We start from the raw sequence: 26,316 nt of genomic DNA on the forward strand, positions 1-26,316 counted from the left end.
CACAGCCATCAAATTCCTGGAAGGTATTCTTACATGGAGTCAGCTAGCAACAGCTAAACTTTAAAATGACTGCAGGTCACAGAAACATATCCCACTCATCTTCTCCTTAGGACTCCAGAACTGCTTTTGTCCATCCCAACACAGCCTGAAAGGATAGGGTGTGTGACAGGAAAGAAGACAAAGTGGAAAAGTACAGTGGCCTTAACCAATTTAGTCCAGCTTCAGAAAGATACTCTGCAAGTGAGAAAGGCCTATGCTTTATGAGCTTCAAGGTAAATACCTCTGTCCAGATCATTCTGAGCCTTAAAGATCATCAAGAACAGTTAGGATTTTTTCTTCTTCATGAGACAAGAAACCAGTGGAGGGTTTTAATCAAGGGATCTGAACTATGTTTTGTTAACAAAAACACAAGGGAAATGCACTGACCTAAGGTTATCCTCTAACCCTGATCAAAAAGAGGTATTCAAGCACAAAGCAGAACAAAGTTATGCTTCCATCTCCTGAAAATCTGTGTTTCCTCTTTTTCCTTATCTCTGGATTATAGATATACACAAATCCAGTCATCCCATAATTTTCCCAAAGACTTCTAATTGAAAATAGAAGTAAAAATTTCTCAACCTACAAGTTTGTAAAAAAAGAATAGCAGTCTTTAAAAGCAGGATAGTCAGTTATTTAAGTGTTGTTCTACAGCTATTTTAGGAATGGTGGTATTGTTGTTCCTAGCTGTGCAGCCCCAATCTTAATAGCCTGGCCTTTCCATCAGCTCAAGAAACCACAAATATCTTCAATTAATTCTGTTTATACTTAAATTAGCAAAAGTTAACTAGTAAGTTCATTTCTACTAACAATTAAGAGCTCTGAATCCAACAAATAAGTATGTAATAAGCAAATAAAAGTAAACCAGTCAATCATGAAACTTGAAGTTATTAAAAGCACGGGGTGGGGGGGTGCGCGGTGGAGATGGTAAAAATGATTAGAAGCTGTTGAACCAGAAATGCTGGAGGGTGATGGCATTCCTCAGCCCTTCCTACTCACCCACAGGTCTCTTGTTCTGCCCTTCCATCCATGTTTGGGGAGAAGGGTCAAGAGAGAAGCACACAGTAGCTTCTCACTACATAAAGTCAGCTCTGCTACTGACATGCTAAAAAAGCTGTGAAGAAAAGGAAATTAAAGAAGGCAAAAAAAAGAAGAGGCCCATGTAAGAACTGACCTGAGAACACAGTGTGTATTCTAACAAGCACAGAAGAGCATAATACAGATACAAAGTTTAAAATGTAGGAGTGGGAAACACAGAATAAAAGGACTGTAGGATTAGGTTAATCTAGAAAACCTTGGTCCCAGAGTGGTTGGTGTGGAATAACTGCCAGTCATCATCTCATCCATAAGTAAGATCTTTGTAGCTAAATCATAAAGGCAACGACAAAGTGAATTTACATTTTTCAAATCCAATTACACACGTGAAACTTTAACCTAGTAAGACAACATTTCAATGAGAAGCTAAAACAATTGTAAAAATTTTGATCTAGAAAAATATCTGATAAAGGTAAAAATAAATGTTACCCATGCACATTTTTTTAAATTAACTAGATCTACAAGGCTTGTTATGAAAAACTAGTCCCAGCTCCCTCTCCAATATTTCCTTTTCCCAAAAGCTTTCTTTATTCAGTGACTGCCAGTTGAGGAAATTTGAGATATAGCTGTTTCCTGGTCCTGGCATCCTCCACACTTCCCACCCCCGATGTCTCAACACAATCCTAACTTTGGTTAGATCAATATTTGAGGCTTATGTCATTATAACTACATAGGGTATTCAGAGCTGAACCAAGCAGTAAACAATAATTACTTTTCTTTTCCTGCATAACATTTTGTTTCCCTTGCAATTAATAATTTGTTTCTCATTTCTTTAGTTTTCTACATACTTATCTACTATATATTTATCCCAATTCACCCCAGACTCTCCAGTCTGACAAAGCTCCTTTGAGTATACCAATTTGCCTCAGGTTTCTATGAATTTCATCTTCTGGAAGAAGTCTCTCCCTGTCTTCAGACTTGCTACCATCTGGACTGAGGAACCTAGGCCAGGTACACAGCTACTGTCCTAGGTGTTCCTCCCACTCCTCTCCTACATTAATCTTCTTCCTAAAAACACCACTGCCACTCTCTTCCCCACCTCCATTCCCCTCAGATCCCACCACAGAAGTTTCATGAGAAAAAAAATAGTGTGTCGACAAAGCTTGGAAAACCTTGCAACATACAGTCGCTTTCTGGAATTCCCTAATGTATGCATTTGAGAACCCTATTCTAAAAAAAAACTTTCAATTTTGATTAATCCAGGTATCTCTGAAACTTAATCAGAGACAATAATCTATTTTTGAGGAATACCTACCTGCTAATGATGTACACTTTGGGAAATGGTACATGGATGGTAAGCTACTTGAAGGCAGGGAATATAGCTTATTATACTTTGCAAACTCATGACATCTAACATGGAACAAAACATAGGAAAAAAACATGCTGAAACAAACACAGGTTTATATAATAGTAGATGTCATGTATCTTGGTCATATTCTAAAAGCTATTCCGAAATACCAATGATCATCCTAGGTATATTATAACAACTCTATATACATTTCATAGAATTTCCACTATAAATTCATTATGTGTGAGTGCAGCTATCCCTGGGTATTCGTGGGGGGGACTGATTCCGGGACCCACTAAGGATACTAAAATCCACAGATATTCAAGTCTCTTATATCAAATGGTATAGTATTTGCATATAACCTACACACATTATCCTGTATACAGGCATACCTCGAGACATTGCACGTTCTGTTCCAGACCACCACAATAAAGTGAGTAACACAAATTTTTTGGATTCCCAGTTCATATGACAGTTATGTTTACACTATACTATAGTCTTCTGTGTAACAGCATTATGATTTTAAAATGCACATACCTTAATTAAGGATCATCTGAGCCTTCAGCAAGTCATAAACTTTTTGCTGGTAGAAGGTCTTGCCTTGATGGCTGCTGACTGATTGGGGTGGCAGTTGCTGAAGGTTAGAGTGGCTGTGGCAATTTCTTAAAATGAGACAATAAAGTTTGCCACATCAATTGACTCTTCCTTATGAAATATATCTCTGTAACGTGTCATACTATTTATCCACAGTAAAACTTTCTTCAAAATTTGAGTTAATCCTCTCACATCATGCCATTGCTGTATCAATTAAGTTTATGTAATATTCTAAATCCTTTTGTTGTCATTTCAACAATGTTCACAGCATCTTCTCAAGGAGTAGAATCCATCTCAAGAAACCACCTACTTTGCTCATCCATAAGAAGCAATGCCTGGCCAGGGGTGGTAGCTCACACCTGTATTCCCAGCACTCTGGGAGGCCAAAGCAGGAGGATCGCCTGAAGCGAGGAGTTCGAAAACAGCCTGGGCAAGAAAGCAAGACCCTGTCTGTACAAAAGATAATTTTTTTAAAAAATTAGCCAGGCACAGTGGTGTGTGACTGTGGTCCTAGCTACTTAGAAGGCTGAGAAGGGAGGATCGCTTTAGCCAGGGAGTTCAAGGCTGCAGTGAGCTAGGATCGTGCCACTGTATTCTGCTCCAGCCTAACAGAATGAGACTTTGTCTTTAAAAAAATCTTTTTAATAAACAGATAAAAAACAGCAACTCCTCATCCATTAATGTTTTATCATAATACTGCAACAATTCAGTTCCATCTTCAGGCTCCACTGCTAATTCTAGTTCTCTTGCTATTTCTACCACATCTGCAGTTACTTTCTTCTTTGAAGTCTTGAATCCCTCAAAGTCATCCATGAGGGTTGAAATTCAACTTTTTCCAAACTCTTGTTAATGCTGATATTCTGACCTCCTCCCATGATTCATGAATGTTCTTAATGGCATCTAGAATGGTGAGTCCTTTCCGGAAAGTTTTTCACTGACTTTGCTCAGGGCCATCAGAGGAATTGCTACCTATGGCAGCAGCCATACCCTTAGAAAATGTATTTCTTAAATAATAAGACTTGAAAGTTGAAATTAGTCCTTGATACCTGGGCTGCAGAATAAATGTTGTGTTAGCAGGCATGAAAACAACATTCATCTCCTTGTCCATCTCTATCAGAGCTCTTGGGTGACCAGGTCCACTGTCAATGAGCAGTAATATTTTGAAAGGAATCTTTCTGAGCAGTAGGTCTCCACAGTAAGCTTAAAATAGTAAACCATGCTATGAACAGATGTGCTGGCTTCCAGGCTCTCTTTTTCCACTGATAGAGCACAGGCAGAATACAGATTTACCATAATTCTTAAGGGTCCTAGGATTTTTGGAATGGTAAAGGAGCACTGACTTCAACTTAAAGTCACCAGCTGCATTAGCTACGACCAAGAAAGTCACTGTCCTTTGAAGCTTTGAAGGCAGGCATTGACTTCTCTCTCTAGCTATGAAGTCCTGGATAACATCTTCTTCACCAAATAGAAGAGTGTTTTGTCTACACTGAAAATCTATTGTTTAGTGTAACCACCTTCATCAATGATCTTCGCTAGATCTTCTGGATAAATTGTTGCAGCTTCTACATCAACATTGATTGCTTCACTTTGCATTTTTATGTTACGGAGACGGCTTCTTTCCTTAAACCTCATGAATCAACCTCTGTTAGCTTCTAACTTTTCTTCTGCAGCTTTCTCATCTCTCTTCATAGAATTAAAGAGAGTTAGGGCCTGCCTCTGGATTAGGCTTTGGTTTAGGGAAATGTTGTGGCTGGTTTGATCTACCCAGACCACTCAAACTTTCTCCTTATCAGCAATACGGCTGTTTCGCTTTCTTATCATTCATGGGTTCACTGGAATAGCACTTTTCATTTCCTTCAAGAAATTTCCCTTTGCATTCACTTGGCTCAAGAGGACTAGCTTTTTGCCTGTCTTGGCTTTCAACATAGCTTCCTCACTATGCTTCATCATTTCTAGCTTTTCATTTCCAGAGAGACGTGTGATTGTTCCTTTCACTTGAACATGTAGAGGCCATTTTAGGGTTACTGACTGGACTAATTTCAATATTGTTGTGTCTCAGGAGTGAGAGAGACAGGGGTACAGCCAGTTGCTGGATCATTAAGAACATACACATTTATTAAGTTCATCACCTCACATGGGTAATGGTTCGTGGTGCCCCAAAACAATTACAACAGTAACATCAAAGATCACTGATCATAGGTCACCATAACCGGTATAATAATAACGAAAAAGTTGAAATACTGCAAGAATTACCCAAAATGTGACACAGAGGCACAACATAAGCACATGCTCTTGGAAAAATGGCACTGATAGACTGGCTCGACTCAAGGTTGCCACAAATCTTCAATTTGTAAGAAATGCAGTATTAGCAAAGTGCAATAAAACAAGCTAGGCCTGTACTTTAAATCATCTCTAGATTATTTAAAACACCTAATACAATGTAGATACTATATAAATAGTCACACTGTATTGTTTAGGGGAAAATAAGGGGAAAAAGTCTATGCATGTTCAGTATGAACGTAACCATTCTTTTTTTTTTTTCTCAAGTATTTTTGACACACAGTTGATAGAACCACAGATGCAGAACCCACAATGGGTATGAGAGGCGAACTGCATACCTATTATCTCAACTCCACTCCACTGGATAGAACATACTTCTCTTTGCTTCCAAAATTAAGTCCATCCTCAAAAACGCAATACGCCTAAAAACAACTCTGATTCATTATACCTTTAAACAACAGATTACTCAAACCAGAGCATTAAGTAAAATGGTTTTGTAAAAACTGTAAATATATGACACTAATAATTCAACATGTATATCACAGTATGAGTGCATATACTTTATGTTAATGAACAGAATTTAAATGAGACGAAGGATAAATGGTGAAGAAATCTTGCCCCCTTCCCTCGTCAACAATTCAGGCAAACCTAAATAAGAGGAGTCACTTATTCCAGTCCCCTTCTCTCAATAAGGAGGAGAGGAAGAGAAACATTCTGCCCCTGGGCGGCATAAAGAACAAACTGTGCTCCTGCAAGCTTCATTCAGTAGCTCTGGACCAAATGAATCAACATGTTTATCTGCTAATACAGCTGAGCTCATTTTAAAGTGTTATGCACTTAAAAGGAAACAAACTTTTTAAAAAACAAAACTAGTAAAAATTAGAAAGTTTTTGTTGTTTTAGCAAATTTAGTTAGGTTTATGAAGACCAAAAATTAACAGAATAAATCTTCTATTTTGTCAAAATGTTTATTCTCAACTGAAGAAGATTTAAGGAAACTCAGGCTCAAAAACATTTGATCTAGGGGTCAAGGACAGTCTGACTTCTTAGTTCTGCCAGCAGTTTTTTAAAGCTGCTTCCTGTACTAGGGAACGTTCACTGTTCTTGCACAAACAATAATAAGTCATTTATACAAACACCTTGGTTATTCTTTCCTTTTAAATTCACTGGTAATAACAAAGGCTACCATCATGATTCTAATAAACATTTTGAGCTTTTACCATTAAATTTCTATTAATTTATTATTTGTGGGGAAACAATTTATTCACTTAACTCAAAAATATGTCTCCAATGCTGCCAATCATGTGCCCGACATTATAGATAAAAGTCAGCAAAAGAGATACAGTCACTGCCCTCCCAGAGCTTCCAGTTTTGCTGACAAGATATTATGGAATTATACATCTATATATATAACCCGGACTATGAAAAGGGAAAAATATACCATGAAAGCAAACAACATGATCTGGCCCTGGGGGTCAGAGGATTCCTTTGGCAGTGATAATTAAGCTGAGATTAGCCTTACAATCACTAAACATGATTTGAAACACACACATTCCAAATCATCCTAGGAGTAGGAATGCTTACAGCTACATGGGGGAGGGGAGAAGAGTTTATAGGAGCCAAGGTAAAATCCATGACTTTAAAAATAAAGGTGAGAGCTTCATGTGTACAACACCAAGAGATCACTTATCTCTGTAGGAAGAAAAGCAATGGCCATTCCTAGCATACTTTCACTCAAAAACAGGTTTCGTAGCTAGAACTATTTTCCAATAATAAAGCCAAACATCAGCTATCAATCTAATAATCTCCAATCATCTCAAGTCCTCCAAACACATTAAAATGAATTTATAACAGTAAATGTATCACAAGCCTCAACACCCCGTATAAACCCAGTAATGAAAAAAGATGTCTTAAGCTTCACATATCACAGGTCATCTAATGTCAGAACAGAAACAAACTTCTAGAAATCATCTTGTAATAAAACACTTTTCACTGTGCAAATCAGGAGTAACACCCGAAGTGAAGCAGCAGCACTTACAATGTCACACATCTAGTTCAGAGTAGAACAGGAGGCTAGAGCATGGACTGCCTGAGTCCACTCTCTATGCTTTTTCTACCAGCATACAGCAGCAAATACATGACAAGAAACACACGTTGCAAATAAATAAGGCAGAATTTTAAGACACAAATTGCATTTCAAAATTTTTATTTTAAAATTTTTTTTACATATTTTTAGGGACAGGGTCTCACTATGTTGCCCAGGCTAGTCTTAAACTCCTGGCACAAGCAGTCCTCCCTCCTCAGCCTCCCAAAGTATTGGGATTACAGGCACAAGCCACCGTGCGTAACTCAAAATTTTTATACATTTTCAACTGACCCACACATGCTGCAGGCTCTAGAAAACAAATGCTCCCTCTTACCACATACCACAGAAGAGTAAAACTGAAAACAACAGCTGGGCACAGTAGCTCACACCTATAATCCCACATGCTATGGGAGGCTGAAGTGAGAGGATCTCTTGAGGCCAGGGGTTCAAGACCAGCCTGGGCAACACAGTGAAACCCTGTATCTATAAAAAAATAAAATTAGCCAGACACAATGGTGCACACCTGTAGCCCTAGCTCCTCAGGAGGCTTAGAAGGGAGGATCCTTTGAGCCCAGGAGATCAAGGCTGCAGTGAGCTATAATCGCACCACTGCACTCTGCACTCCAGCCTCAACAACAGAGCAAAACTGTCTCAAAAAAAAAAAAAAAGGGTGAAGAAAACCGACTATTTATTGACTCCCTAGGGTCTAGGAGCTCGACTGAGTAGCTCATCTACTTTAACATCCATTAATCATCACAACTACCCTCTGATTAGATATTATTCTCATTCTACTGAGACCCAGAAACATTAGAAATTTACTTATGGTTACATAGCAGAAAAATGGTAGAAGTAGGACTTGAATTCAAGTCTAAATCTAAATCCATGTAGCCATTTTACCATTAAAAAGCATTTTTTCTTTTTTTGAGACAGGGTCTCATTCTGTCACCCAGGGTACAGTGCAGTAGCACGATCATGGCTCAGCTCACTGCAGCCTCAACCTCCCAGGCGTAGGTGATCCTCTCGCTTCAGCCTCCCAATTAGCTGGGACTACAGGCGCAAGCCACCATGCCCACCTAATTTTTCTGTATTTTTTGTAGAGATGAGGTTTCACCATGTTGCCCAGGCTGGTCTCAAACTTCTGGACTCAAGCTATTCATCTACCTTGGCCTCCCAAAGTGCTGGGATTACAGGCATAAGCCACTGTACCCAGCTAGTGTTTCTTCATTAAAAAATACTATACAATGTGATTAGGTTTCCCTGGGAACTTACAAATGCCCATTTAATTGCTAATGAAACATATTTTAAAGTTTGGTCTAGGATAACTGCCATTTATAACATTATATCAAAAAGAACTACCAAGTTTTAAACAACTACTTTACAAACAAAATTTGGAACATATTCTTAAGTTAAATGTTATTCATATTTTCTTTTATAACATTCTTTTCAACCCTGCTGTCAGTGCCACCAGAAATGGGTGTTATCTACTCCTATGAAATGTTGGCTCAGACACAAGAAGAAGAGTATAATGCATGACTGCTTAAGAGAACCATAAAAATACAAGAACTACATTTTAATCATTCTGATTTCTCCATTGGTGGACAGCCCATTAACAGCTTCAACTGGGAGAGAGCATACTGCTCAAAAATAAGAACCCAGCAGTCCAAATAGAGCAAAGCACATCATTAATTAAAAGAATACCAGTTTTTGCACAACTACCCACACCATAGGACTTTCTGCTTTCTCAGCTCTGCTAAATTCTGTTACCACTCACGCACCAGGTTCTCAGCTTCCAATATTTAGTTGACGTTGTTTGCCTGCTGTCATCTCTCATCTCGTTCTCTTTACCCTCATGGATTTCTGCTTTTATATGTGTTCACTATCATTTAAGTGGGGAAGGAAATACATGTCTTCTCTGATAATACTGGAGATTTTTAAAGTTTTCTTTTGATCCCTTATGGTATCTGTTTTCTCCCAGTGTTCCAAGTATCACTCCCTCTCCACCTCTCTATGTCTACTTTTTTTTTTTTTTAATGTTGGAGTCTTCCCCCAGATGACCAATGGTGTTAGATTGTTTGCTCATATTTAAGAATAAGCCCCTGAAAAGAACTAACTGAAAGATCTGTGTGGGAAAACAGGGCTTAACGACTGGTAGAATTCACTTAAGGTACTCTCAGCAGAAAGCCTATCAGTATCTGAAGATGCTGTTATCTTCAGTCTTCCACAGGAGAAGGATAGGACAGGCTTGACTGTGCAGTTCTGGAAGGAGAGCAGAGGAAGAGAGCTAACACTTCTATAGTTCAGGCGTAGGTTTCCCTTGATCTCCTTGTTTTTTTTTTTTGTTTTTTTTTTTTGGTTTTTTTTTTTTTGAGACGGAGTCTCGCTCTGTCGCCCAGGCTGGAGTGCAGTGGCGGGATCTCGGCTCACTGCAAGCTCCGCCTCCCGGGTTCACGCCATTCTCCTGCCTCAGCCTCCCAAGTAGCTGGGACTACAGGCGCCCGCCACTACGCCCGGCTAATTTTTTGTATTTTTAGTAGAGACGGGGTTTCACCGTTTTAGCCGGGATGGTCTCGATCTCCTGACCTCGTGATCCACCCGCCTCGGCCTCCCAAAGTGCTGGGATTACAGGCGTGAGCCACCGCGCCCGGCCGATCTCCTTGTTTTAAACCAAGCAACAATCCACGGCCCCTGGTTTCAAAGTCCAGACAGCTCTTCATTAATTTTGCAAAGAATAAACCTTGTTCTCCTGAGGCCAGGGAGTTGGTAGTGAAGGGACTCACCCATCCACAAGGGCACATAGGGAGAAAATCGTAGGGGTCCACCTGTCAGTGTACACAGATTTTCCGACCAGCTCCCCTGTTTTCAGCTCCATTTCTGACCCCTATCTTCCTTAGTATCTGGTGCCTCCAAATGCTGAGACTCTTGGGAGCTTCGGACAAACACAGTACTGCATTTCTTACAGGTATTTTTGTGCACTTACAGGTACTGTGTGATTCCTCTGCAAAGTCAGTCACTACCTGTCCATCTGCTTATTTGAAAGAGGTATAGCAGCTTCTGTCTCCTGTTGTAACCTCTCCCAGTCTCTGATTTCTTTCTTCCATTTAGGCAGGGATTAGGAAATAAGAAGAGATGTACAGGTGTAGCCAATCTGTCACTTTTGGTCAGAAGCCCTGAGAGAGCTCTTTTGAAATCAGCTATCTCAGGATACTGACTTAAGGACTAAATTAGTATTTCTCAAAGTCCGATCACAGACTTGCATTAGAATCCACAAGGATGCTTGTCCACACAGCAGTCTGGGTGATTTTTGCTTTTGCTGTTACATGGAAATCAGATTAAGTCACTCCCCCACTTAAAACTTCCTAATAAGCAGCTTCTCACTCCACTTAAAAGCCAAGGTCTTTCAAAGCCTAAAATAATACGGCCAATGTATGTCTATCTCTGATCCCATTTAATACCATTCTTTCCAGGCACTTTTCTCTACTATTAATATATTCTGACAACACTGGCCTAGACCACCAACCAGTTTATTGCTATCTCAGGGCCTTTGCACATGTTCTTTCCTCTGCTTGTAACGTTCTTCTTCTAGTTCTTGCATGGCCCCTTCTCATTTTTCAGATCTCAGTTCAAAGGTGGACAGACAAAATGTGGTACATCCATATTATGGAGTGTTATTTAGCCTTAAGAAGGAAGGAGATGCGGACATGTGCCACAGCATGGATGAACCTGGAAAACACTACGCTAAGTGAAATAAGCCAGTCACACAAATACTGTACGATCCACTTACATGAGGCACTAAAGCAGTCAAATTTAAGAAGGCAGAAAGAATGGTTGTTGTTAGGGGCTGAGAGGAGAGAGAAAATAAAAAATTACTGTTTAATGGCTGCAGAGTTTCAGTTTCACAACATGAAAAAAGTTCTGGAGGCAGATGGTGGTGAATGGTTGCAAAACAATGTGCATGTACTTGATGTCGCTGAAACGTGCACTTACAAATGGTTAAAATGGTAAATTTTATGTTATATATATTTTACTACAACCTAAAAAATACTTTTTTAAAAAAAAAAGCAAGATAAAAAATAAGAGTTATCTCTTCAAAAGACACCTCCCAAGATCACTCTATGCAAAGCTCTCTCTCTCCTTTCCCCTGCCAGGTAATTATCTGGCACATATCATGGTATACTTTCTTCACAGAACTTAGCACTATATAAAATTATCCTGTTTGTTTATTATCTCTCCGCCAGTTACAGAGTAGGCACCTGGGATGTCTTCTAACACTACCTACACAATATGGTAATAAATATATAATAGGAAGACACTCAATACACATTTGGTGGCTAAATGAATTAACTGTCTTCTAGGTCTCAACCCAGATCTACTAAATGAGAATCTTGGGATTCTCAGACATTGCTTTATTGGGAGAGAAAACTTGCTATTTATGACCCAAATAGCACCTCCCAATCCCAACAGCTAGTTAGGACAATTTGACACAAATGACCTTTAAAATAGATATTCTCTGTTCTTACCACAGAATATGTGCTTTTGATTGGAGGGTTAAACAGTGGGGAAGGTATAGATGAAAGAGGAGTTTCTAACATTTTCATAAAGGAATGCCTGATAACATGACAATATAGTTCCTTTAATTATTCTTAAATGATTAAGCATGTATAACTATCAGAAGAGCTTCTACATAATCAAATAGATCACTAAACTTCTTTATGAAGTAATTCAAAAGTTAGGATAACAAAAAAAAAAACCAAAAAACAGTTTTTCTTTTTTTTTTTTTGAGATGGAGTCTCACTCTGTCACCCAGGCTGGAGTGCAGTGGTGTGATCTCGGCTCACTAAAAGCTCCACCTCCTGGGCTCATGCCATTCTTCTGCCTCAGCCTCCCAAGTAGCTGGGACTACAGGCGCCCACCACCACACCCGTCTAATTTTCTGTATTTTTAGTAGAGACGGGGTTTCACCATGTTAGCCAGGATGGTCTCGATCTCCTGACCTCGTGATCCGCCTGCCTCGGCCTCCCAAAGTGCTGGGATTACAGGCCTCCCAAAGTGCTGGGATTACAGGCGTGAGCCACTGTGCCAGGCCCTTTTTTTTTTTTTTTTTTTTAAGACAGGGTCTCACTGTGTCACCCAGACTGGAGTGCTGCAGTGGCATGACCACTGCTCACTGCAGCCTGACCTCCTGGACTCAAGCGATCCTCCCACCTCAGCCTCCTGATCTCCCACATAGCTGGGACTACAGGCATGCACCACTACACCTGGCTAATTTTTAATTTTTTTTTTTTTTTTTTTTTTTTGTTTTGTAGAGATGTGGTCTCGCTATGTTACAGGCTGGTCTCAAACTCCTGGGCTCAAGCAATCTGCCTGCCTCAGCCTCCCAAAGTGCTGGGATCATAGGCATGAGACTTTGTGCCAGGCCTTCTATTTATGTTCTTGATATTATCTAATTTCCTACAGGATTTTGTTCTCATATCTTCTCTCTGTTATCTTTCCATCTCACCTGGACAATTCTATAGCTCACTCCTAGACAGCAAACAAACACACTTATCTCCCCATTCTAAAAAATATTCACTCACTCTTACTACATGTTCAACCTCTAATTTTCTCTATTCCTCTCCACAACATCCAGCTTTTTTGAAGTCTACTTTCTCATTTCCCATTCACTCCTTAACCTTCAACTCCACACTGGCGAATATGGTCATCAACCCCTTAACACAGCAGTTGCTCTTTCATTAGTCACCAATGAGCTCCTTTCTGTTACTCATCATACCTCCTTCACTGTTTTAATCTTGCTCCTCCTTTTAGATGACTTAAATTCTGTTCATCGCTAAAGTATGAGTGGAAAGTGGGGTAGTGAACCCAGACAAGACTGGGTGTGGCCCTGGCTTCAACAGTTATTGCACTTTTCTGAGCTGACTGACATAGGACTGGTCTGTCTTCCTAAGGGATAACTGAACTAGGGCAGGCACTAGATCCTCATTTATCTTTACATCCTTGAGCTCTTTATATCTTTATATACTGTGTGCTTGGCACATTAAGTAGACACTCAATGGGGCTGTGGAAGGTAGGAAAGAAAGAAAATGGGGAGGGAATGGGTGGGGAAAAATGCAGGAAACAATTTTACTCATCTTTTTATCCCTAAGTACAAAGTAGAAAAGTTAACCATAATAGAACCTCAATTAATGTTTGGTGACCCTTACTGAATACATATATACTACCTATTGCATGAAGATTTGGGTTTTGTTTAATTTCATTGAACGTTTACATTTAAATTCTGAGAACTGCACATTTACCACAAAACTATGGTTGTAAAAACTATACTGTTAATTATAGTTACAGTTGCTGACTCATTAAGCAAATTCATAGTTTTAGAAACATAGTTTTAGTCAATGAAGCAATAAAATATACTTTAGCATTCTTCAACATTCAGACTAGGGGTAGGGGATGATAAAGAGAGACAGCGAAGTTAAGACTCAACATGAAATGAGGTAGAAATAAAAAGAACAACACTGAAGTCTGGCCATAGGGTGGTTAAAAGGCTCTGTAATTTTCCTAAAATTAACTTTCAAATATATGACAAAATTGTCATAAATAAGTTAGTCTAGGTTTAAAGAGCTTTTTTGAAAGTCTGATTTCTGTTACTTAAGAAAAAATAAAATGTCTCTAATTTTTAAACAAAGCACACATAAACAAGCTGCTTTCAATAAATGCTCTTTTACTATATTTCAAAGGAAAACTATCTAGCACTTTGGGGCACTTATTAAATAGTGAAAAGAAAAATATTTCTTTCTAGTTAAAAAAGGATGAAGACAATTCTTGGGGAGTGGGGGGATCCAAGTAACTGAATTCTGTCTATAACTTAAAGTTCCTTTTTTTTTAGCTCTTATTCTCTGTCTTATTTCCAAGTTTCTATTTCCTTTACTTGCTTTTAAATGTCAGTATTCTCCAGAGTGCTATCCTCTCATCCTTCTCTTAAACATGTTCATTGAGCAATCTCATCTGTACCAGAAAAGCACACTGTTTAGGAGTATACCTTCCAGGACCAAATGTGCTTGTGTTTGAATCCTGACCCTACTACTTGCTAGGTGTACAACCTTAGACAAGTTACTTAACTTTTCTGTACCTCAGTCTACTCATCTGCAAATCAAGGATAAAGCAGTGCCAACCTTACAGGGCTGTTGTGAGGCCTCAGTTAATATATATCAAATGCTTACAATGCTGCCTGGCACATAATATGTTTTCTAACTAAGAGTGTTAGCTATAAGAGGGCCATATAATTCACCCAGGGCACTTCTAAGATTTAAGGAAGAGATTATGGGCCAGGTGCAGTGGCTCACGCCTGTAATGCCAGCACTTTGGTAGGCCAAGGTGGGCGGATCACGAGGTCAAGAGATCAAGACCATCCTGGCCAACATGGTGAAACCCCGTCTCTACTAAAAATACAAACATTAGCTGGGTGTGGTGGCGCACACCTGTAGTCCCAGCTACTCGGGAGGCTGAGGCAGGAGAATTGCTTGAACCCACAAGGCAGAGGTTGCAGTGAGCCAAGATCGCGCCATTGCACTCCAGCCCAGCGACAGAGTGAGACTCAGTCTCGAGGAAAAAAAAAAAAGAGAGATTATGTATAATAATCACACTGGAGCGACAAGAGTAAACCAGAACTACCTTAGGCAAATTAAGACAGTATCACCCAACTAGTTAGGATAAGCCATAAAATACAATGATATGCACCATTTCTGCCCTATAAATATCATATAATTAACCTAATAATGTTCAGTTCCAGTTAATGAAAACCTAGCAAATACTTAACTATTATTTCTGAAAGTGGGTTCAGTAGGGGTGATGGCTGAATAGGTCAAAACACTTCAGAAACATCAAGTTAAATAAAGCTAAGTATGTTGGAAAGATGAAGTTTACCATCTAGCCTACCCAAAACTCACTGGTGTGCTAATTGACTTTATAGCTTAAACTAGTCTTATTTTGCAGCTACAAAGTTATTCTGAAATGAAATTAAAATGAGCTACTAGCTTTTTAAAATATAAGGTATGTTATCTATGTTATTCCTCAGGGCCTATCCCATAATGAGTATTAAATAAACATTTCTTGAATGAATGAATGAATATTAAAAACAATTTCTATTATCTCTGAACTATGAGAGATATGGAGATTGTAACAAAGAATGAAATCCTTAAAAGAAAAAAAGATAATTCAAATTTTCTTGTTCACTACTTAAAAACCATTAAAAGCCATTTTTGACCTAATAATTCCATCAACCCATGTATTTCATATGTAAATGTTCAATGAAACAGGACTTGCCATGCCATGGATAAAGTTTTAAAGACGGTAATAAAAATCTTTTCAGGGTTATTATTTCATTTAAACACTACTGATGTTTATCCAGCCAACAAAAAAGTATAATAGCACAAAGACTGCCTTCTGAATACTCCCTAGAGGCCAATCAGCCAGGTGTGAGAATTCTGAGGTTAGGGAAACTCTTTGAAACAGAGTTCAAGAAGAGCTACTTAGAAATAAAGAAACAAATTCAGATCATGATAGCCATAAAGCAGAACCTGCAGAAGGGAGCATCAAAAAACCAAGGGCAGTTTTGCATATTTACCAATTTAATCTACTATTTCAAAAAAGCTGAAGCACTAGTCTTATAGTAGTGACCTGCAAAAATTATCGAGCCACATTTAGTCAACAGCAAATATCCAATGGAAAATCTAATGCAATTTTTATATGGATGCTACTGGAATCTTATATCCAAAAACTGAAGAAGGCCAACCGAAACCCCAAACTACAATTTTATTCTTTCTGATCTTATGTTAGTTCCTGAAATCTGTTATGAGGAAAAATATTCCTATAGGATAAAAACAATAGTGGGGGCTAATATATATGGAAAATACTACACTAAAAAGTTTGCATACATTATTTCCTTTGGTTTTCACAATCATCTTAAATAATACCCGGCTTGACTGTAGGAATCTTAACAGACCCCAAAGGCCGCAGCTCATTTCCAAATGCCTGGTCAGAATTTTCCTTTTTGTAAGTTTGTATACTTTTTTGCTGGCTTAATTTCTCTTTCCTCAGGTATACTCCAACACAATACACTATTAAGCCTAACTACTGGTAAGGTAGAGTCAAATTCTGTTACAAAAAGTTCCATATGACCCCTCTACGCTACATGACATGGTAGCAAACGAAACCATGACAGGCAGCTGTGACGAAAATAGCTATACATTTATAATTTAAAGTAATATTCCTGGCTAGAATTTATTGGAAAGGAAATATCAAATATTGGAGCTAGAAGAGACTTTAGGGACACTAATCAAAACAAAATTTTATTGAACATAAATAAGATGCATTTTTACTGTAAACTTTCCAGTCATTATTGTTGTTCTTAAAGTTTAGCAAGTTTGGGAAGAGAAGCTGGAACTCTTGGTTTTACATCAAAACCAAGATCATTAATTTTCCTACAGTATACTAGGATTCCTTCTATTTTATATTTTTGTGTAACCCAAATTACTCTATTAAATAGTAGAAATTTAGAGCTAGACAAAATTTCTAATCCATCCATTTATTTTTACAGGCAAGAAAACAAAGGCCCAGTGTGTCAAGTAGTTTTATATTTTGGTTGCATACAGTTGGTTACCAAAAGAGTTAGGACTAAAACCCAGGACTTCATTCACATCCAGTGCTTTTCAGCAAAACAAAAAAGTCAATGCTTATCAGTAAGAATTTTAACAGGCCAGGCACAGTGGCTCATGCCCATAATCCTGGCACTTTCAGAAGCCAAGATGGGAGGATCGCTTGAGGCCAGGAGTTTAAGACCCACCTGGGCAACACAGCAAGACCCCATCTCTACAAAAAAATTAAAAATTAGCAGGCATGGTTGCATACACCTGTAGTTCCAGCTACTAGGGAGGCTGTGGCAGGAGGATGTCCTGAGCCCAGGAGTTCAAGGTTGCAGTGCGCTATGATCGCACTCCAACCTGGGTGACAGAGTGAGACCCTGTCTCAATAATTTTTTTTAAAAAATTATAATAACAGTTATCACTTATCAAGCACCTATTATGAGCCTAGCACTACTATATTAAGGATTCTATGTAATTATCTCAAATCCTCCCAACAACATTAAAAGTCCAGATCTATCTGCCTCCAAAGCCAGCTGTACCTTCTCTTCCATCATACTGCTTTCATAATCCCAAGGAGAAATCCAGGTTGGTGGGGCAAGTGGGGGACAGGATGGTTGTTTTGTTTCTTTTTGTTACTACTGAAGTTATCCACATAGAGTTACTTCATTTTTGTGAAGGACTTAAAAATATTAGGTTATGTACATGAAAAACACTTTTACTTATAAAAAAGAAAAGGCTTCCACTGCATCTTTATGAAAACATAAACTAAAAAAGTTGTGAAGACTCACTTATATAAGCAATCAAAGACTAATTCCTTCCTAAGGAATGTGATTTCAACACAAGGCTTTCATTTGACAACTTGGTTTGTTACAGAACAAAGACGTACATGTACACACACACACACACACACACACACACACACACACACACACACACATAAGACTGAAAGGAAATGTGCCAAAAATGTTAAAAGCCACTACTCCCCGACAACTCATAACCACAGTGACCTCCTTCAAGAAATGAGCACATAACCCAGGATCCAGACAATCAAGTTTGCCATCCCCCTGACTCCTGGCTACCGTGATACATTAAGGGATGAAAAACTGACATAAGGAGGAACACAGAGTCACCTCTGAAATTTACCATATAACTGGTGAGAAGGAGTCTATCTTCCTTTCAGACAGTGAGCCGTGATGACGTTGCCCTGAGGCTATAAGCACACAACAGAAGCCTGCTTGAGAATGAAGCCATGGCAGGTGGAAACAGAGCCAGCCCACACAGCAGAAGAAGACCCTTGACATCATCATCAGGGTTCTAGATCCACGCATGCCTGAGATCAGTCCATCTTGGACTCCCATTTACTTAATCTAACATATCCACTGTCTTTTAATTTTTTGCTTGACTGCTTGAGTTGGATTTGTGCTGCTTAAATTTTTAATAGTACTGACTAGTCTCAGAGAGAAGCCCTCAGTTAAAAAATAACACTACACTGCAAAATTTGAAACATTTTAAAATTAGGTCAATTAATCATTTTGTCTATCTAAAATATACTTTTAAATTACTGTAACAAAACTTTTAAAATTAAACTAGTAATACATTTAGTGTTCCTAAATAAGGTTATTCTAAATCTTTATGTATTAGCAATAATTGCACTTATTTACCACATACAACATGATATTTTGAAGTATATACACATTGTAGAATAGTTAAATCTAGCTAACAAATGCATTACCTCACATAGTTATCATTTTTGTGGTGAGAACACTTAATATCCACTATATCTGCATTTTTCAAGAATACAATATACATGGCCGGATGCGGTGGCTCACGCCTGTAATCCCAGCACTTTGGGAGGCCGAGGCGGATGGATCACGAGGTCAGAAGATCGAGACCATCCTGGCTAACACAGTGAAACCCTGTCTCTACTAAAAAATACAAAAAATTAGCCGGGCGTGGTGGCAGGCACCTGTAGTCCCAGCTACTCAGGAGGCTGAGGCAGGAGAACGGCGTGAACCTGGGAGGTGGAGCTTGTAGTGAGCTGAGATCGCACCACTGCACTCCAGCCTGGGTGACAGAGCAAGACTCCATCTCAAAAAAAAAAAACAAACAAAAAAGAATATAATATACATTAACTGTAGTCATCATGCTGTACAATAACTGCATTTTTAAATAGTATTAGAGTGTTACATTGCCTGATATTTTGTTTGTATTAACATTTTTCTAATGGTAGAACATACCACAACTTTACTCCCTTGGCTTTTCAAACTTCTGCCATACCACTCACCAACTATAGGTTATGTTAGGTGGGCAGAGATTTCTTCATTCACACTCCCGGGATACATAAATAGAAGAGGAAGTTCTAAAACCGTGATGATTCTGCCTTCTCCAAATTCACAGAGAACATCACAACCATCACAGAGAAATTCCCTCTTTTTTCCTCTTCTGTTCCTCAGTAATTCTTCCTTCCCTCTGCTCATCCCTCATGCTCACCTTCCCTCTGGACCAACTGGGAGTTTGCCTCTCCTCCTTTCAAAGATTAACCCCATCACCTATGTTCTCATCTCCTCCCAACCTTCACTCCATCTTATTCTTTCTCTGCCAGCTATAGTATTTCCTACCACACTAGCACGTTCCCCTCTGCCATCACATATACAAAAATTTTCTCTAACTTAAAAAAAATATTTCACTTAACCAAGCTGCTCACTTTATTGCTCTCCTACTTTTCACTGACAGATTTTTCAAATGAATGGTTTAAATCTGGTATTTAAGCATCACTCTTCCCTTATTCCCCAAAAGTCTAGCTTCCTCCCTCCCCTCAAATCCCTGAAACTGAATTCATGATATTTCTTTTATTGTCAAATCCAATGGCCCCTTTAATTTCATTTCCTCATGCACACCGCTGTATGTGGCGTTATTTCACTATCCTCTTGTAAAATCTTGCCCATTGGTTCAATGACATTATAATCCATTTTAGCTCTCTTGCTGTTGGACTTCTCTAAAGAGGTCTCCTTTTCCTCTCATTCCCTGTTAGTAAAGTGTGTGTTTCTCATATTCATTCTTCAGTCCATTCTTCAATGTTCATTTTCCATATGCTTTCTCTGAAAAATTATATCTATCATTAAAACTGTGTTGTTCTCCAATATAAGGCAAAATTACAACACACATACAAAAGGGTGAATAACCATTTTCCTTCCCAAATTAGGACTACTCCCAAATTTTCTGAAAATGGCATCACTTGTCTTCCCTAAAACCATGGCATGCACACACACACTCCTCAGCATGCTTCCTATTTTCTATTGCCTAGAACACCCTTCTTCCCTTCTCACCCAAAAAAATTCCTATCAGTCTCAAATGCCCCTTCCTCTGTGAAGCCTTTCCTGCCACACACCCATCACCCAATGAACATGACTTCCTAGTTCTCCCTTCTATAGAACCATGGCACTAAGTAGATACCTTTACTATAGCACTTTTTAAATGATTTTAGGTTGCTATGTTTTTCATCTCACCCAATAACTATGTCCAGGTGCAAGGAGCACGTTTTATTCTTTTTGTTTCTTTAGTTGCTATAACATGATAGGCATGTACTTGGTAAGTATTTATTAGGGGAAAAAAAACACTTGAAAGGTCCCAGTTCAGAATGTCAGAAGCATAATCAAGACACTTCATATACCTGCAGTGCTTTGCAAGCATCAAAGTTGAAAGTGCTAGCTTTGTGAATACCAAAAGCATTAACTGACTACACCAGTCATTTAGCATTTTGGTTTCCTGCCACAAATATACTTCCATCTTTACATGCATATGTGTCTTATCTTCTTAAATGGGTAAGTACTTTCAGACTACAACTTTTAATGTTAAGTACATTGTATTATCTAGTGTGATTCCTTGTACCTTAGTAGGGTCTCAATAAATATCACATAGCTATTTGATGTGTCTCATTGTTAGGAGTTCTAAAACTATCTGAGAGATCTGTCATTAACTTATTGTTTTAAATTAAATCAGTTTTTCAAAATTACTCATTAAGGAAAATATGCATACATGGAACTCAAATACCTTCAAATCCATGATCCAAATAATATATTAACTTTTAAAAAGAAAAGGCAAGAGTGGGTTCTTTCAGTGGTAGTAATGCATCTTTCCTTGCAAATATGGATCTCAAATATGGATTACATATGGCCATTAAAAAGCAATTTCCCTATAATTCATAACGTAAAAACTGATTCAGGCAATATCATCAATGGAGGTAAAAGGCTATTGGGAACAATCATCCCACAGATTTATAAATGAGAAAAATAGGGAGCAGTTCCAAGATGGCCGAATAGGAAAAGCTACAGTCTACAGATCCCAGTGTGAGCGACACAGAAGACGGGTGATTTCTGCATTTCCAAATGAGGTACCAGGTTCATCTCAATGGGGATTGTCGGACAGTGGGTGCAGGACAGGGGGTGCAGTGCACCAAGCGTGAGCCAAAGCAGGGTGAGGCATCACCTCACCCGGGAAGCACAAGGCGTCAGGGAATTCCCTTTCCTAGCCAAGTGAAGGGGTGACAAACAGCACCTGGAAAATCGGGTCACTCCCACCCTAATACTGCGCTTTTCCAACGGACTTAGCAAACGGCACACCAGGAGATTATATCCCATGCCTGGCTCGGAGGGTCCTATGCCCACAGAGCCTCGCTCGTTGCTAGCACAGCAGTCTGAGATCAAACTGCAACGCGGCAGCAAGGCTGAGGGAGGGGCGCCCGCCATTGCTGAGGCTTGAGTAGGTAAACAAAGCAGCCGGGAAGCTCGAACTGGGTGGAGCCCACCACAACTAAAGGAGACCTGCCTGCCTCTGTAGACTCCACCTCTGGGGGCAAGGCATAGCCAAACAAAAGGCAGCAGAGACCTCTGCAGACTTAAATGTCCCTGTCTGACAGCTTGGAAGACAGTAGTGGTTCTCCCAGCACAGAGCTTGAGATCTGAGAACAGACAGACTGCCTCCTCAAGTGGGTCCCTGACCCCCGAGTAGCCTAACTGGGAGGCAACCCCCAGTAGGGGCAGACTGACACCTCACACGGCCGGGCACCCCTCTGAGACGAAACTTCCAGAGGAACAATCAGGCAGCAACATTTGCTGTTCACCAATATTTGCTGTTCTGCAGCCTCTGCTAATGATACCCAGGCAAACAGTGTCTGAAGTGGACCTCCAGCAAACTCCAACAGACCTGCAGCTGAGGGTCCTGACTGTTAGAAGGAAAACTAACAAATAGAAAGACATCCACACCAAAAACCCATCTGTACGTCACCATCATCAAAGACCAAAGGCAGATAAAACCACAAAGATAGGAAAAAAAGAGCAGAAAAACTGAAAATTCTAAAAATCAGAGCACCTCTCCTCCTCCAAAGGAACGCAGCTCCTCACCAGGAACGGAACAAAGCTGGAAGGAGGATGACTTTGACGAGTTGAGAGCAGAAGGCTTCAGACAATCAAACTTCTCAGAGCTAAAGGAGGAAGTTGGAACCCAACACAAAGAAGTTAAAAACCTTGAAAAAAGATTAGATGAATGGCTAACTAGAATAACCAATGCAGAGAAGTCCTTAAAGGACCTGATGGAGCTGAAAACCATGGCACGAGAACTACGTGACGAATGCACAAGCTTCAGTAGCCGATTCGATCAACTGGAAGAAAGGGTATCAGTGATGGAAGATCAAATGAATGAAATGAAGCGAGAAGAGAAGTTTAGAGAAAAAAGAATAAAAAGAAATGAACAAAGCTTCCAAGAAATATGGGACTATGTGAAAAGACCAAATCTACGTCTGATTGGTGCACCTGAAAGTGACAGGGAGAATGGAACCAAGTTGGAAAACACTCTACAGGATATTATCCAGGAGAACTTCCCCAATCCAGCAAGGCAGGCCAACATTCAGATTCAGGAAATACAGAAAACGCCACAAAGATACTCCTCAAGAAGAGCAACTCCAAGACACATAATTGTCAGATTCGCCAAAGTTGAAATGAAGGGAAAAATGTTAAGGGCAGCCAGAGAGAAAGGTCGGGTTACCCACAAAAGGGAAGCCCATCAGACTAACAGCTGATCTCTCGGCAGAAACTCTGTAAGCCAGAAGAGTGTGGGGGCCAATATTCAACATACTTAAAGAAAAGAATTTTCAATCCAGAATTTCACATCCAGCCAAACTAAGCTTCGTAAGTGAAGGAGAAATAAAATACTTTACAGACAAGTAAATGCTGAGAGATTTTGTCACCACCAGGTCTGCCCTAAAAGAGCTCCTGAAGGAGGCGCTAAACATGGAAAGGAACAACCAGTACCAGCCACTGCAAAAACATGCCAAATTGTAAAGACCATCAATGCTAGGAAGAAACTGTATCAACTAACGAGCAAAATAACCAGCTAACATCATAATGACAGGATCAAATTCACACACAACAATATTAACCTTAAATGTAAATGGGCTAAATGCTCCAATTAAAAGACACAGACTGGCAAATTGGATAAACAGTCAAGACCCATCAGTGTGCTGTATTCAGGAAACCCATCTCATGTGCGGAGACACACATAGGCTCAAAATAAAGGGATGGAGGAAGATCTACCAAGCAAATGGAAAACAAAAAAAAGGCAAGGGCTGCAATCCTAGTCTCTGATAAAACAGACTTTAAACCAATAAAGATCAAAAGAGACAAACAAGGCCATTACATAATGGTAAAGGGATCAATTCAACAAGAAGAGCTAACTATCCTAAATATATATGCACCCAATACAGGAGCACCCACATTCATAAAGCAAGACCTTAGAGACCTACAAAGAGACTTAGACTCCCACACAATAATAATGGGAGAGTTTAACACCCCACTGTCAACATTAGACAGATCAACAAGACAGAAAGTTAACAAGGATATCCAGGAATTAAACTCAGCGCTGCACCAAGCAGACCTAATAGACATCTAGAGAACTCTCCACCCCAAATCAACAGATTATACATTCTTCTCAGCACCACACTACACTTATTCCAAAATTGACCACATACTTGGAAGTAAAGCACTCCTCAGCAAATGTAAAAGAACAGAAATTATAACAAACTGTTTCTCAGACCACAGTGCAACCAAACTAGAACTCAGGATTAAGAAACTCACTCAAAATCACACAACTACATGGAAACTGAACAACCTGCTCCTGAATGACTACTGGGTACATAACGAAATGAAGGCAGAAATAAAGATGTTCTTTGAAACCAAGAGAACAAAGACACAACATACCAGAATCTCTGGGACACATTCAAAGCAGCGTGTAGAGGGAAATTTATAGCACTAAATGCCCACAAGAGAAAGCAGGAAAGATCCAAAACTGACATCACAATTAAAAGAACTAGAGAAGCAAGAGCAAACACATTCAAAAGCTAGCAGAAGGCAACAAAATAACTAAGATGAGAGCAGAACTGAAGGAGATAGAGACATAAAAAACCCTTCAAAAAATCAGTGAATCCAGGAGATGGTTTTTTGAAAAGATCAACAAAATTGTTAGACCACTAGCAAGACTAATAAAGAAGAAAAGAGAGAAGAATCAAATAGACACAATAAAACATGATAAAGGAGATATCACCACCGATCTCACAGAAATACAAACTACTATCAGAGAATACTATAAACACCTCTATGCAAATAAACTAGAAAATCTAGAAGAAACGGATAAATTCCTCGACACATACACTCCCCCAAGACTAAACCAGGAAGAAGTTGAATCTCTGAAAGGACCAATAACAGGCTCTGAAATTGAGGCAATAATTAATAGCTTACCAACCAAAAAAAGTCCAGGACCAGACGGATTCACAGCCGAATTCTACCAGAGGTACAAGGAAGAGCTGGCACCATTTCTTCTGAAACTATCCCAATCAATAGAAAAAGAGGGAATCCTCCCTAACTCATTTTATGAGGCCAGCATCATCCTGATACCAAAGCCTGGCAGAGACACAACAAAAAAAAGAGAATTTTAGACCAACATCCCTGATGAACATCGATGCAAAAATCCTCAATAAAATACTGGCAAACCAAATCCAGCAGCACATTAAAAAGCTTATCCACCATGATCAAGTGGGCTTCATCCCTGGGATGCAAGGCTGGTTCAACATATGCAAATCAATAAAGTAATCCAGCATATAAACAGAACAACGACAAAAACCATGATTATCTCAATAGATGCAGAAAAGGCCTTTGATAAAATTCAACAGCCCTTCATGCTAAAAACTCTCAATAAATTAGGTATTGATGGGACGTATCTCAAAATAATAAGAGCTATTTATGAGAAACCCACAGCCAATATCATACTGAATGGGCAAAAACTGGAAGCATTCCCTTTGAAAACTGGCACAAGACAGGGATGCCCTCTCTCACCACTCCTATTCAACATAGTGTTGGAAGTTCTAGCCGGGGCAATCAGGCAGGAGAAAGAAATAAAGGGTATTCAGTTAGGAAAAGAGGAAGTCAAATTGTCCCTATTTGCAGATGACATGATTGTATATCTAGAAAACCCCATGGTCTCAGCCCAAAACCTCCTTAAGCTGATAAGTAACTTCAGCAAAGTCTCAGGATACAAAATCCATGTGCCAAAATCACAAGCATTCTTATATACCAATAATAGACAAACAGCCAAATTATGAGTGAACTCCCATTCACGATTGCTTCAAAGAGAATAAAATACCTAGGAATCCAACTTACAAGGGATGTGAAGGACCTCCTTCAAGGAGAACTACAAACCACTGCTCAACGAAATAAGAGAGAATACAAACAAATGGAAGAACATTCCATGCTCATGGATAGGAAGAATCAATATTGTGAAAATGGCCATACTGCCCAAGGTAATTTATAGATTCAATGCCATCCCCATCAAGCTACCAATGACTTTCTTTACAGAATTGGAAAAAACTACTTTAAAGTACATATGGAACCAAAAAAGAGCCTGCATTGCCAAGTCAATCCTAAGCCAAAAGAAAAAAGCTGGAGGCATCATACTACCTGTCTTCAAATTATACTACAAGGCTACAGTAACCAAAACAGCATGGTACTGGTACCAAAACAGAGATACAGACCAATGGAACAGAACAGAGCCCTCAGAAATAATACCACACGTCTACAACCATCTGATCTTTGACAAACCTGACAAAAACAAGCAATGGGGAAAGGATTCCCTATTTAATAAATGGTGCTGGGAAAACTGGCTAACCATATGTAGAAAGCTGAAACTGGATCCCTTCCTTACATCTTATACAAAAATTAATTCAAGATGGATTAAAGACTTAAATGTTAGACCTAAAACCAT

At 39.2% G+C, this 26,316-nt stretch overlaps 1 protein-coding gene and 1 long non-coding RNA gene across 13 annotated transcripts in view; both read right to left on the reverse strand.

The window, feature by feature from the left end:
* The window catches only part of AKT3 (AKT serine/threonine kinase 3), a 362,847-nt gene that overhangs the window by 297,513 nt on the left and 39,018 nt on the right, over positions 1–26,316 (reverse strand). The window lies entirely within an intron of this gene.
* Positions 7,460–8,655, reverse strand: AKT3-IT1 (AKT3 intronic transcript 1). Its single transcript, NR_046761.1, has 2 exons — positions 8,515–8,655; positions 7,460–7,835 (listed from the first exon to the last, which is right to left on the reverse strand). It is a non-coding gene; the product is annotated as an AKT3 intronic transcript 1 (long non-coding RNA).

Source organism: Homo sapiens, chromosome 1, assembly GCF_000001405.40.
Source record: "Homo sapiens chromosome 1, GRCh38.p14 Primary Assembly".
Taxonomy (NCBI): Eukaryota; Metazoa; Chordata; class Mammalia; order Primates; family Hominidae; genus Homo; species Homo sapiens.